Source organism: Homo sapiens, chromosome 1, assembly GCF_000001405.40.
Source record: "Homo sapiens chromosome 1, GRCh38.p14 Primary Assembly".
Lineage (NCBI taxonomy): Eukaryota > Metazoa > Chordata > Mammalia > Primates > Hominidae > Homo > Homo sapiens.
In genome coordinates, this window is record NC_000001.11 from 120,877,582 (window position 1) to 120,891,986 (window position 14,405).

The 14,405-nt window shown below is 36.8% G+C and overlaps 1 protein-coding gene and 1 long non-coding RNA gene across 2 annotated transcripts in view; both read left to right on the top strand.

Annotated features, from left to right (window-relative positions):
* The window catches only part of LOC124904393 (uncharacterized), a 38,233-nt gene that overhangs the window by 3,766 nt on the left and 20,062 nt on the right, over positions 1-14,405 (top strand). The gene's annotated exons all lie outside the window — the stretch shown is intronic.
* PPIAL4A (peptidylprolyl isomerase A like 4A) lies at positions 12,190-12,949 on the top strand. Its single transcript, NM_001143883.4, has one exon. It carries the CDS (start codon positions 12,240-12,242, stop codon positions 12,732-12,734), a length of 495 nt encoding a protein of 164 aa, NP_001137355.1. The 5' UTR covers positions 12,190-12,239; the 3' UTR covers positions 12,735-12,949.

Here is a 14,405-nt window from a genome sequence, read left to right on the forward strand (position 1 = left end):
ACTGAATCATGAGGATGGGTCTTTCCTGTGCTGTTCTTGTGTTAGTGAGTAAGTCTCATGAGATCTGATCATTTTTAAAATGGGAGTTTCCCTGCACAAGCTGTCTCTTTGCCTGCTGCTATCCATGTAAGATGTGACTTGCTCCTCTTTGTCCTCCACCATGATTTTGAGGCCTCCCCACCCATGTGGAACTGTAAGTCCATTAAACCTCTTTCTTTTGTAAATTGCCCGGTCTCAGGTATGTCCTTATCAGCAGCATGAAAACAGATGAATACAACAATACTGTAACAAATTGACTCACATCTGTTCTCTTTATAGGAATTGCAATGCTACAATATTAGTGGCTCTTAATTCTAAGAGTGTTAAAAAATATTAATGCTTGTCTCACCCCTAAAGTCTAGGGTGTGACCTGAGTATTAGGTTATTTAAAACTTTTCTCAGGTAATAGACATGTGCAGCCAAGGTTGAGAACCACTCTATAGGGCCAAGATATGTAAGAAAATTCAAGTCCTTTAGCTGGGCGTGGTGGCACACAGCTGTAGCCCCAGGTACTCTGGAAGCTGAGGTGGGAGGATTGCTTGAGCCCAGGAGAGAGAGGCTGCATTAAGCTATGATCACATCACTGCACTCTAGCCTGGGTGACAAAGTGAGATCATGTCAAAAAAAATAAAAAGAAAGGAGAAAGAAAGGAAGAAGAGGAAGGAAGGAAGGAAGGAAAAGAAGAAAGAAAGAAAGGAACAAAGAAAGAAAGAAAGAAAGAAGAGAAAAAGAGAGAGAGGAAGAAAGAAAGAGAGAAAGAAAGAAAAGAAAAAGGAAGGAAGGAAAGGAAGAAAGAAAGAAAAAGAGAGAAAGAAGAAAGAAGAAAAGGAAAGAAAGAAAGGAAGAAAGAGAGAAAGAAGGAAAAGAAAGAAAATTCAAGTCCTGCCTTGTAAAATGCAGTACTCCATTTTCCCAAAGAGATCCCAAGGGAAACTTAACTACAGGATAAAGACAAACAAAAGGACATAAATTACAACTACTCTAGGTTCACATATTATTTTGTTTCTGAAATTGGTTTTAAAATATCTATGTCAGAGTTCATTTCTAGAACTTTATCTCTAGAAAACATATTTTCACTTCTCAATACAGGAAAATGGAGACTGGAAAAATGAGGTTGGAAAATGATTTCCATGCTTATCTCTCAGCTTCTTTTTTCAACTTCCCTTTTTCATCTCCGTATCTTCACTGATACCTAGGAATCTCTGTTACATCACAGTCTTCAAGAGCTTTGCTTGCAGCAAATTAGTTAAGACATTAGCTTTCAAAAGTATATGATATTCTCTCACAAGCATTTGTCTACTTTTAATAGGGCAAGCTACGTAAAGATGTTAAATCTCATTCCAGAAATACCACATCTACTCTACCTATTTATGAGAACAGTCGTCTCTAGACCAAGATAGACATTCATAGTTAGGAAATAAATCCCTGTAGGCTTTTTCCACAGTCCCAATATGTCCCCTACTGTCCCGATTTTAGCAACAAAAATCCCCCATCCAGAAAATCCTTCATTCCTGAGTAAGTTGAAAGATTGGTCACCCTATTTCTATCTGTGTCTCTTTCTTTCATAATTGGCTCATAATCATAGCAGTCACAATTTTGAAAAATTTTATTTTACTGAATTACTCATTGCTGTTTTCTCATTTTTTAAATAATAAACACTTATTAAGAAACATTGGAAATATACCGAAAATAGTAAACAATAAAACAGAAACCATTGGCAGAAATAGTCACTATTAAAATCTTAATATACTCCCTTCCAATGTTGTTTCTGTTAATGCAAATTAAAAAATCAGAGATTCGCCTCTGTGAACTAGATCTTTTTACCTTTAGATATTATTTGACAAATATATAGCTCGATCATCTATCCAAACTTCTCTTTTACAGACTCCATGCCAATTAACCTTCTCCTATGAAACTATTATTTCTTCACATAGGATAAATATGGTTTTTGACACACAAACTTTCTTAGTTACACTGCAATCCAGTTGTGCATCTCTAAATTTATACCAATTGGATTTAGAATGATCATTACTAAAGAGGCTTGGTCTTATCTCTTGCAATTTGCTTCTTCCTTCTTAAATTCAATTCTTGTAATGTAACTATAATTTGGGGGTATTTTTTGCCTCATATTCAAATTCTCTTTCAAACTGAGGTACATTTCTGTATTTCTGTATTTGTATATTGTATATAATAGTATAGAAAACAATAATGAGATTATAGTGTACATAAAAGTTTTGAATTATAATTAAATATTTAATATATAAATATATTAAATATGTATAAAATATCTGATTAGTAATAAGATAATAATTTAAAACCTCTGAGTTTTAAAACTAGGACTTTGAAATACCAGCAAAGGCCACCTGCTTTGACCAGCATCTCTTTTCCCTGCCTGCTTTAATCATGTCTTGGGTCCTGACAAATTTGCCCCCAGATCCCTCCCAAATTACTCTCCAACTCTGTTCTATGTTTCAGGAAAATAACATTTATTTCCCAGTCTCCTTTGCCCTCCATTTTCCCAGTAGGCTATCCAGTGAGAGATGCCATAAAAGCCTGCCTCTTCTCTGCAGGGCTGCTTCCCACCAGATAGCCCCTCCCTCCATGGACCCAATTCCCATTAGCTCTAGCAACCTGCCTGAAGTCCTGGCCCCTTGGCTCTGATAATAACACCTTCTTCCATGATCCTTCTAGTCCTAGGGGCAGTACTGGTTTCTTGCTCTTGAGCTGCTGACTCACCAAGCCTGGTTTGGCTTCCATCACTTGTGTAATCAATCACCTGTATTAAATCACCTCTGCTTGAAAGACGAAGAATAGTTTCTGATTTATAAGCAAACACTGAAAGCTCTTCTATTTCTTGTTTGCTAAACAAGATTTGTCAAAGTTAAATATTTTATTTTATTGAATTCACTTTTTGCCTCTTCTACAATGATGATTTGCTTTTCCTCCTTTAACTTGTTAATGTGATGAATTATACATAGTTTTTTTTCTATTGTTAGAAATCCTTGCATTCATGGAACAAACACAATTTTCATACTATATTATCTTTTTTACAGATTTCTAAACTTAATTTGCTAACTTTTAATTTAAAATGTTTGCCGTTAGGTTCATGAGGAAAGTTGGCATGTAATTTTCCTGTCTTACACATTTCTCATATAACATTGGTATCAAGGTTGTACTGGCCTCATAAAATGAACAAACAAATGGACCTTTTTTTATTCTGGAGTTGTTTTTATAAAATGGAAATAATCAATTTCTTGAAAACATTTGATAGAACTCACCAGTAAAAATGTCTGGGCCTGCTGGTTCTCTTCTTCTAAGAAGAATTTGGAACTTATAATTAAAGCTCCTTTAATGTGTTAGAAAACTTTCCAGGTTTCCTTGAACATTAATAAATTCCAATGATGAAAAGCCCTCAGATATTAAATATAACCTTAAATATAACCTTCCCCCAATTCAATTTTTCTTTTGCAGATATGATTAGATACTCTAATTTTTCAACCTCTATTTCACCTATCCATTTTCCTTTCCTCCTCTGTACTGTCTTCAGCATAATTTGTTTAGTCTAACTTCCAACTCACTTATTTTCTTTTTGGTTCTATCCAATATTGTGTTTAACCTGTCCATTTAGTTTTTAATTTTCATTATATTTTTTATTTCTAAAAGATCTCTTAAGTTCAGTTTCAATCTGCTTAACATAAGATACATACACTGTCTCAATTTATATTCCTGGCACACCTCATTGATTTTTTAAACCTATTAAACACAGCTTTTATAGTTATATAATCATCCTAATATCTGAAATCTTTATGGGCATAATTCTGTTTCTGCTCATGATGTTTATTTCCTCATGAGTTTTGTAAGAGTCTTACTTTTTTCTCATTTTGGATGAAATTTTACCTGTGGCCATTCTTTGAGACATGGGCTGAATGTGGGTTTCTCCAAAGACACTTTGCCTTCGTCTTGTGTTTGGTGGTAATACCAACATGGGATAACTATAAAATAAATTATCAGTTTCATGTGTGGGTTTTTTTAAAATTATACTTACAGTGAAAATTTAAACCACAAATTCATGTGAAGATGGCCTTCTAATTTTTCCTCTAAATAGCACCGAGTTTGAGGCAGGAAAATTTCCTGGTTGTCTCCCCCTGAGGAACAGGTTTTTATCTAGTTTATCCTTTCACTGAAATTATAGTCCTTCATATCTCTGGCTTTCAGCAGTTTTCTCCTGTAAGACTGCTATACTGGGCAGGCACTAGGTTTTGTCTCACACTCTCCCATATCCCAGGTGGTCATAAAAATTGAAGCTCAGGGTACTAGGGCCAGGACTGTCCTTATGGAAGCTTCTGGTTTGGGGGTCTGCATACCTCTCTGGATTTATGTATTCTCCTTATGCTTGGCCTATGTGGTTCACCTTAATTTCTATTCAAGTCAGTAATATACTTTTGAAAAATGACATGTACATTTTATCTGGTATTTGTAGATTTCATATAGCAGGATAGTGATTCAGCAAATTTAGTCTGTCACAATGCTAGGAATAGAATTCCCCTAATTTTTGAAAAAATTATATCAAATCATGTTTATTGCCATTAATAGTCTTATAAATGTGCTTTTAAGTAACTGCATTTTGTCATAGCTCATTGTGATTGTATATTTAACTAATTCACCCCTACCTCATGTTTTTTGGGAGTGAAGGTTGTACTCAACTCATTATGTTAAGTAATACTACAGTAAACATCAATCTATACATGCATTAATAATGATTTCCAAGAAAGTAGTGACACATGGTCATAATCATCTTTGAGGCTGATGGTACATATTTTCAAATTGCATCTCAGAAATAATATACCAATCTGTGCTCTAATCAGCCGCATATGAAAGTGTCATCTTTCTGTTCTCCAACCAATACAACTACTACTGTTTTTATACCTACAAATCTGACAAAGATGGGAGAAGGCATCTTATAGTTTCAATTTGTATTTCTTTGGTGACCAATGTACTAAATTACTCAATGTACTAAATTACTCTTTTCCTGTTTATCATCCATTTCAAACAAGATGTAAACCATTTTAAATTTTTTTATATTAATGCAAATCGTAAATCACTACTTTATTTATTCAATTTCCTAAGCAAAATTATATGTTGTCCCATTTATACATTTTATATTAGATCATTCTGCCTTACATTTATATCCTAAAAACTGTCAGAATTATATAATAATTATGAACAGTTGATTATAAATAATGCCTTTATTAGGATATTTCTCCATAAATCTAAATTTCATCAATCTTTCTTTAAATATCTCTACACAATTTCCTCTTGTATTATATTAATAATTGCAGATACACTTCTTTTTGCTATTTCTATTAATTCTTTCCTATTCCTATTGTCTGTTAGTCTCCCATTTTCTCCCATAAAATAAATAAAAATTTTTCTATCAGATTCTGTGATATATTACTTCTTATTCCCAGCCTTCAACATTTTAAGAATTCAGATTGACCTTTTCTCCCATTCTTATTTCAAGTTATCAGCATGTCAATACTTGGGAAATCCCATCAAGTGTTTAACAGTGCATACCTTACTGATTCATTATTTATTTCAATTTAATCTTTCTTATTTTCATTCAACTTTTTTCTCAGTAATACAACTTTTTCAAGCTTTTTATTTTCTAATGCATTTCTCCAAATAGCAGCCATAACCCTTATATGCCCTCTTTCAATGACAACAACAAAAGTGTGCTAGGCTTCTTGGAAGAAAATAATTATACCAATTTAAGAAGGAGAAAATTGATGTACTGATAAACAAATGGGCATCTTAGGATCATGTTTCTCACAAGTAAGGCAGTTCCAGAAATTCCTAGGACCCTAATGGGTTTTATTCTAAATAGGTTAAACATATCACTTAAAAAATTGTTTTCTACAGTTCTCTAATATTGCTTACAATTGTCCACGTTTCCATGTTTATAAACTTGCACTTTTTTTTTTATGGAGTTTTGCTGTTGTTGCCCAGGCTGGAGCCCAGGCTGGAGTGTAGTGGCGTGATCTTGGCTCACTGCTACCTCCACCTCCCAGGTTCAAGCAATTCTTCTGCCTCAGCCTTCTGAGTAGCTGGGATTACAGGTGCGTGCCACCACACCTGGCTAATTTTTTGTATTTTTAGTAGAGACGGGGTTTCACCATGTTGGCCAGGCTGGTCTCGAACTCCTGACCTCAGGTGATCCACCCGCCTTGGCCTCCCAAAGTGCTGGGCTTACAGGCATGAGCCACTGCTCCTGGCCTTATACTTGCACACTTTTTAATTCTAAGACCTTGCTACTCAGTGAGGGATCCTGGGACTAATACCATCAGCTTGACTTGAGGCCCTCTTTGAAAGCAGACTCAGAATCTGTAATTTATCAGGATCCCCAGGTAATTTGTATGTGCAGTCTAGTTTGGTAGATCTGCTCTGGCAGACTGGAAGACTCTTCTATCTGCCTCACGTAAGGTGCAGGTGACATAATTAGGTAATCAAGCAAAAGATCACATATTTTAATAAGAAAGAGACACTGGCTATTATTTTGAGTGGCAAAACAGGTTATTCAGTCCCAGTTTAAAATGGAAATGACAGAGACCAAGATCAAGATTTTTAATTTGAGATGTGCCTGCGATGCAATTACATTTGCTGAATGAAACTGCTTCAGTAATTAGATGCAGGTTTCTTCTCTCTTCTTTTTGAGATGTAAAGAAGACACAATAGACTCATGGAACTTAAAGAACTAGACACCAGCTAACAAAACATGCTATCCAGACTCTTCCATTTCACCATATTGCTTTCTTGAAAACATAGGACAGTGCCAGTTTAGCACTGAAAAAAATCAGTTCTCCTAATTCTAAAAAGAGGAGACAGCCAGGCGTGGTGGGTCACTAAACATACAAAAAATTAGCGGGCATGGTGGTGCATGCCTGTAATCCCAGCTACTTGGGAGGCTGAGGCAAAAGAATCACTTAAACCCGGGAGGTGAAGGTTGCAGTGTGCTGAGATAGCGCCTTTGCACTCTCGCCTGGGCAACAAGAGCAAAACTCCATCTCAAGAAAAAAAAAAAAGAAAGAGAGAGAGAGAAACTGTAATTTCATTTCAGAAGTTTTATAGGGTACTATTTCCAATTCTTTTTTTCTTACTCCATTAAAGTGTAATTAGCAGTATGTGAAAATTTCCACTTTATCCTCAATCAGAAGCCTCTCCTTCCAATTAGCATATTTTTTTTCTATTAACTTTGTAAAGTGGGATTCTTGTTTTATACATACCCCTGGAAAGTATACTTAAACTGTGAGACCCTGGGATTTTATATTTCCAAATAGAAGATACCATCCTCTTGTATCACAAAATGTATCTAAGATGGTTTGGATTATATTTAAATATTCTTGAATGAAATAGACTTACTGACTGAAGCCAATTATTAGATTTTTCCACACCAAAATAAATGCAATAGGAAAAGATGACAGTTCTATGTAGTATTCCTGCTTCCATATTGCACAAATTAGAAACATACATATTCTATTATGTTACAGGGTCTAGGGCTTTGGGAGGACAAGGCTGCAGGCAGCCGAGATTGTGCCACTGCACTCCAGCCTGGGCGACAGAGTGAGACCTTTTCTCAATAATAATAATAAAAGTAAAAAGAAATATAATATTTAATCAATATATGCACACACATGGGTTTATCATGACACACATGACATGTGTGTACAGTGAAAACAATGAGTAAATCTAGAAACCTGTATTGCCTCAATAGCTAGCTAAGTACTTCAATATGCATGTTTATTTCAACAATTTTGTGTTAAGCTTTAGTGGTAAATAAGCAGAGTACACTGGCCATAATGAATACTCCTTTTGATGAGGGTTATCACTACACAATTAAAATATTACATAGTTGGCTGGGCACGTTGGCTCACACCTATAATCCCAGCACTTTGGGAGGCCGAGGCAGGCAGATCACCTGAGGATGGGAGTTCAATACCAGACTGACTAACATGGAGAAACCCCTTCTCTATTAAAAATACAAAATTAACCAGGCGTGGTGGCACATGTCTGTAATCCCAGCTACTCAGGACGCTGAGGCAGGAGAATCACTTGAACCTGGGAGGCAGAGGTTGTGGTGAGCCGAGATAGCACCATTGCACTCCAGCCTGGGCAACAAAAGCAAAACTCCGTCTCAAAAAAATATATAATAATAAACAGATATATATTATATATATAATAAATATAAATATAATATATAATATATAATATATATATAATAAATATATAATATATATTATATATATAATAAATATATAATATATATTATACATATAATAAATATATAATATATAATACATATAATATATATATTATATATAATAAATATATCATATAGATGATATAGTTTAGAGTTAAATACTGACTGCTCTTGGGAACTTTGAGGTATTCTGAGGGATATAAATAACACGAAGAGAATAGCACATTGGCTTGAAGCAGATTAGAGTCTGCTACCTGCGTGAATACTTGCTTTTCATGAACTATGAGGATGCCCTTAGCTTTTGAACCACTTCTACTTGTGTTGAAATTTACCCTTTAATTTTGGGGTTTGACAGGCTCTGCCCTTCTGTTATGCTTGAGTCTGGCTTTTCCTACTCTGACTCACTTTGATTCTTGACCTCTGAATCTTATTCCTATTTTACAATAAACACACATCGCACATACGCCAATTAGTAGAGTGGAAGAGGGAAAAATTGCCAAGGAACTATGTTTAATTTTGTTCCTTTCGCAAACCAGACACCATAACAGAAAAATTTTAGGAACATGTGCATGTTCAGTAGCCTTCAATGCAATTATACTGGTTATTAAAAAGTGTTGGATAATCAATATTTTTTAAAGATTCACTAGTCCCTTCTCATAATTTTAGAACTTTGGGAAGTAATAATACAAATGTATTTTTAGCTGTGTCCTTTAATCTTTTACTGTTTCCTCTATGTGTGGTGTTTGGTTTGTGTGTGTGTGATAATTATTATAAAGATCAGAGGCTAACAGAGGTGTTAATCACGAACTTTTAAATTTTTTTATTTTTATTTTTTTATTTTTTTTAAGAGACAGAGTCTCGCGGTGTTGCCAAGGCTGGATGCAGTGGCGCCAACTCAGCTCACTGCAACCTCCGCCTTCAGGGTTCAAGCGATTCTGCTGCCTCAGCCTCCCAAGTAGCTGGGACTGCAGGAGGGCACCACGATGCCCCACTAATTTTTGTATTTTTAGTAGAGATGCGGTTTCACCATATTGGCCAGGCTGGTCTTGAACTCCTGACCTCATGATCCGCCTACCTCAGCTTCCCTAAGTGCTGGGATTACAGGCGTGAGCCACCGCGTCTGGCTGCATGACCTTTTAACTTGTCTCATACACTCAATATTCTCAAGATATACCTTCCAAAGTGAAAAATTATGGCACTTTGCAGCCCTGTCCACTAACTGAGAACTTTGATGCTTTGGATTTTGGAGACCTCATTTTATCACCTGGTCCTTTTACTTCATGACTTGTCATGCTGCCACCTTTTGATGGGATTGAGATCAAGATAATAATTCCCAACTGGTCAGGAATATTGTGCCCCTTTGTTTTTATATCCAGATGCAATAGAGCCTCTGACACACCACTACTATTGTTCTTAGGATTTGGAACAAAATGCTTCTTTCTTTGACAAAATAAATGTTTTCTTTAAAGAACTCTTGATTGATCCTGGACCATTGTAGAAACTGAAGTCCTATCAATGCAAAAAAATATGACAACATGAGCTGCTTATCATGAAATAAGTGTTTTCCAATTAACTATCCTGCTTCATCAGCAGGTAGGAATAATAGAATCTATACCTATGTCTTCATGGGAAGTTCTCTATGGCCAGTTGATTAGTGAGGGAAAAATTGAGCCTGATTTACAGAAGTCACTGTACAACATCACAGCAACAGCCAAAAGTAGATTGCTTAGGCATTATAACCTACGTGAATGCAATTTTAAAAGAAATTCAGCCTATGTAATTGGTTGTCCACGATGTCTAGAAGGAGAGATATTATTGATGTATATGTGGCAGCTAATAATTTGTCTAGATAATTAGGGACTTGGGGCCAGGCCTGATGGTTCACACCTGTAATCCCAGAACTTTTGGAGGACAGGACAGGTGGATTGTCTGAGGTCAGGAGTTCGAAACCAGCCTGGCTGACATGGTGAAACTCCGTCTCTACTAAAAATACAAAAATTAGCCAGATGTGGTGGTGTGTGCCTGCAATCCTAGCTACTTGGGAGGCTGAGGCAGGAGAATCTCTTGAATCCAGGAGGAAGAAGTTGCAGTGAACCAAGATTGCACCACTGCACTCCAGCCTGGGCAACAAAGTGAAACTCTGTCTCAAAAAAAAAAAAAAAAGAAAAGAAAAGAAAAGATAATTAGGGACTCAGAAAGACAAACACTGAAGGATTGGTGGCAATGAGTTTTGGGGAAAAAATATGTAGATGAACCACAGAAAATGAGCCAGAGTGTAAGAATATTTGTGCTTAATACAAATGCTCACCAAACTATCATCAGGAAGGTTATCAAATAGATATGAAGGTATGAAACAATCTCTTTCACCAGGCACTACATTGCTTGCTCAGAAGGCTAATAAACAGCAACATTGGTGGTAGCAGTAGAGAATACACATAGGTTTAGCAACATGTTGGACTTTACCACTCTCGCTTACAAAAGCCTATTTAGCTGTCAAGACTATTAGGTGTCCAACACACAAGCAACAAAGTCCAAGGCTAAGCACACAATAACATATCCTGGGTGAATAAACCAGTCACCTTTTGTCAGACTTGTTGATTTTACTGGAGCTCCTCTATGATAAAGGCAACAAGGAATTTTGTAAATGGAATCTACCTTTATCCTTGAATTACATTTGCTTTACCTGACATCATTTTTCTCTGATCGCCACTCTCCATGGGTACATTGAATGCCTTATATATACTGCCATAATATCCTGTTCTACATCCTTCTATTAAAAGAACTTGTTGTATAACAAATGAGTAGATATTCATTGGACTCACCTGGTCCACCATTTATCCTATCACCAACCAAAATTATTATTATTATACAATGGTGAATATTTTATTAAAGACTCAATCACAGTGCCAGCTGGAGACAATGGCTTATAAGGTTGTACTCATGCTAGACGATGTGGTGGTGTATCCTCTGAACTAGTAACTAAGTATAAGCTTGTCTGGTGTCTCCCATATAAAAAATACAACAATCTTTGATATTTGTTATGAACGTTGAAGTGACTCCTTTTGTCATTACATCTAATGATCCACTCCAAATACTTGTCTCTTGTCTCTGAGATTCTAGGTTTTTGCAGAATTAGTACCCAAAGGGAGAGTCTTAGCAGTATTCCATTTTACAATCCATCCTTCGTTAGAGGATGAGAGACTTCTATCTAGCCTTTTAGGTTGCCTGAGACCTTTAAACAAACTGTCAAAAATTTAAAATTTAAAATGCGGCTACATTGTTGCATGGGGTAGTAAATCTTGACCTTAAAACTGGTATTTGTAAGAAAAACAGAAAGAATTCAGGGATCCCCTTTGATGGCTCCTAATTCTATACAGTCCTGTAAATATTCCTGAAGACTAACCAGGCGTGGTGGTGCACACCTGTAATCCCAGCTACTCCAGAGGCTGAGGAAGAGAATCACTTGAACCTGGGAGGCAGAGGTTGCAATGAGCTGAGATTGTGCCACTTCACTCCAGCCTGGGTGACAGAGCAAGACTCTGTCTCAAAAAAAAAAAAAAAAAAAAAAGAAGAAAGAAAGAAAGAAAGAAAGAAAGAAAGAAAGAAAGAAAGAAAGAAAGAAAGAAAGAAAGAAAGAAATTAATGAAGACTGCCACAACTTGGAAGCAACCAAGGTATCCTTCAATAGGTGACTGCATAAGCAAACTGTGGTATATTCCTACAGTGGAATATTATTCAGTGCTAAAAGGAAAAAACTATCAAGCCACAAAAAGATACAGAAAAAACAAAGACATTTTGCTAAGTGAAAGAAGCCAGTCTGAAAAGGGTACATACTGTGATTTCAACTATACGACATTCTGGAAAAGGACAAACTATAAAGACAGTAAAAAGATCAGTGGTTATCTTTGCAGACGCCACCATCACTGTGAGCCCTGTACTATCAGCCATGGTCAACTCCGTCGTCTTTTTTGACATCACCGTCGACGGCAAGCCCTTGGGCCGCATCTCCATCAAACTGTTTGCAGACAAGATTCTAAAGACAGCGGAAAACTTTCGTGCTCTGAGCACTGGAGAGAAAGGATTTCGTTATAAGGGTTCCTGCTTTCACAGAATTATTCCAGGGTTTATGTGTCAGGGTGGTGACTTCACACGCCATAATGGCACTGGTGACAAGTCCATCTATGGGGAGAAATTTGATGATGAGAACCTCATCCGAAAGCATACAGGTTCTGGCATCTTGTCCATGGCAAATGCTGGACCCAACACAAATGGTTCCCAGTTTTTCATCTGTGCTGCCAAGACTGAGTGGTTGGATGGCAAGCATGTGGCCTTTGGCAAGGTGAAAGAACGTGTGAATATTGTGGAAGCCATGGAGCACTTTGGGTACAGGAATAGCAAGACCAGCAAGAAGATCACCATTGCTGACTGTGGACAATTCTAATGAGTTTGACTTGTGTTTTATTTTCACCACCAGACCCATTCCTTCTGTAGCTCAGGAGAGCACCCCTCCACCACATTTGCTTGCAATATCCTAGAATCTTTGTGCTCTTGCTGCAGTTCCCTTTGGGTTCCATGTTTTCCTTGTTCCCTTCCATGCCTAGCTGGATTGCAGAGTTGAGTTAAGTTTATGATTATGAAATAAAAACTAAGTAACAACAACAACAACAAAAAAGCTCAGTGGTTGCCAGGAGTTTGGGGATGGGTAGGGAGATAAATAGTTCTGAAACAGGCGATTTTTAGGGGATTGAAAATACATTGGTAATAATGTAATGATGGGTACATGACATTATGCGTTTTGCAAAACTCCTAGACCTGTACCACACAAAGAGTGAACCCTAATGTAAACTGGGGGTGGGATAAAGGTGACAGTATGTGAGAACTCTGTACTTTCTGCTCGATCTTTCCATAAAGCTAAAACTGCTCAAAAAATAAAGTCTATTATTTTGTTAAATGAAAGAAATTAACAATGACCATGGCACGCTCACACAAAAAGATTATCAAGGACATTTCTCTGTCAGGAATGAATATTTGGTCATCTCACAAGGCAAAACCCTGACTAGCAGAGGTGTTAGCTGAGGGCACATGGCCATAGATGCCAATAGTGACCTGCTGGCCACTTGCAGAAAGGAGAGCCTTGACATCCAAACACATTGTTTCTCTTGTATTGTCCTGTGCATACTTATGTATCTTAACAACTTTCCTTCTTTCCTCTCCATTTATCCCTCTTTTTAAAACAGGGCTTATTGAGGGTGATTAACTTAATTTTTAAATGATATATGGCAGAATGTCAAGAGAGTATAGTGAAGAACTTCGTAGAGGAATGGACATAACCCAGAATTCTTAGACTTAGAGTACATGCTGTGATTGAGAATTTTTTATTGTTTCATTGTTCAAGAGATTGTAGGTACATGTTCAATTATTAGAGAAATAGTTGCACTCTGTTAGAAGGAAGCTTGGGTCTTTCGTGTTTACTTTCAAAAGGGAAAGTTTATATTGATATTGAGCAAGTTAAAGCATGAAAATTTATTATTTGATGTTTGTTGCTGTGTTTGAGGAATTCCTCAGCCTCTCAGTTTTGACGAAAACAAGAAACCACCTCCTGCTTTAGAAGCTAAAATGCCAAATGCTTGCTTTCTCAGCCTCCTTTGCAGCTAGGGTACAAGCATATGACTTAGGTTTTGCCCATCTGTTTGCCAGTGCTGAATTTCCACTTCGGAATTAATAAAAAAAGAAGCAGATTCAGTTATGCTTTCTCTTGTTTCTGGTGGAGGCCATGTAGCAGCTGCTACAATATCTGTTGCAAAGCGAACAAGTGGGAGTGGTGCTGGTGGCTTTGCAGTTAGCCTAGGATTGAGCAATTGCTGCAATTGTTGCTGCCTGCATCTTCGGTGTTATTTCTTACTGGTGGTGACAGTGGTTTCCTCCCTGGATGAGTTCTACAGCATGGTTTGGGGTACATTTCCTGGCTGCCTAGCTTTGATCTGGCTTTCTAGCCTTCTCAACAGTTCTACAAGTTCCCCACTATTTCTGTGATAAACCTATTTATTGTTAATGTCAGCCATAATTGGCTTCTGTGGTTTATATTTTTTAAAATTCCAAGATATACCAACGT

Coding starts and splice junctions, on each gene's coding strand:
- PPIAL4A (NM_001143883.4), top strand. CDS start 12,240: ATGGTCAACTCCGTCGTCTTTTTTGACATCACCGTCGACGGCAAGCCC.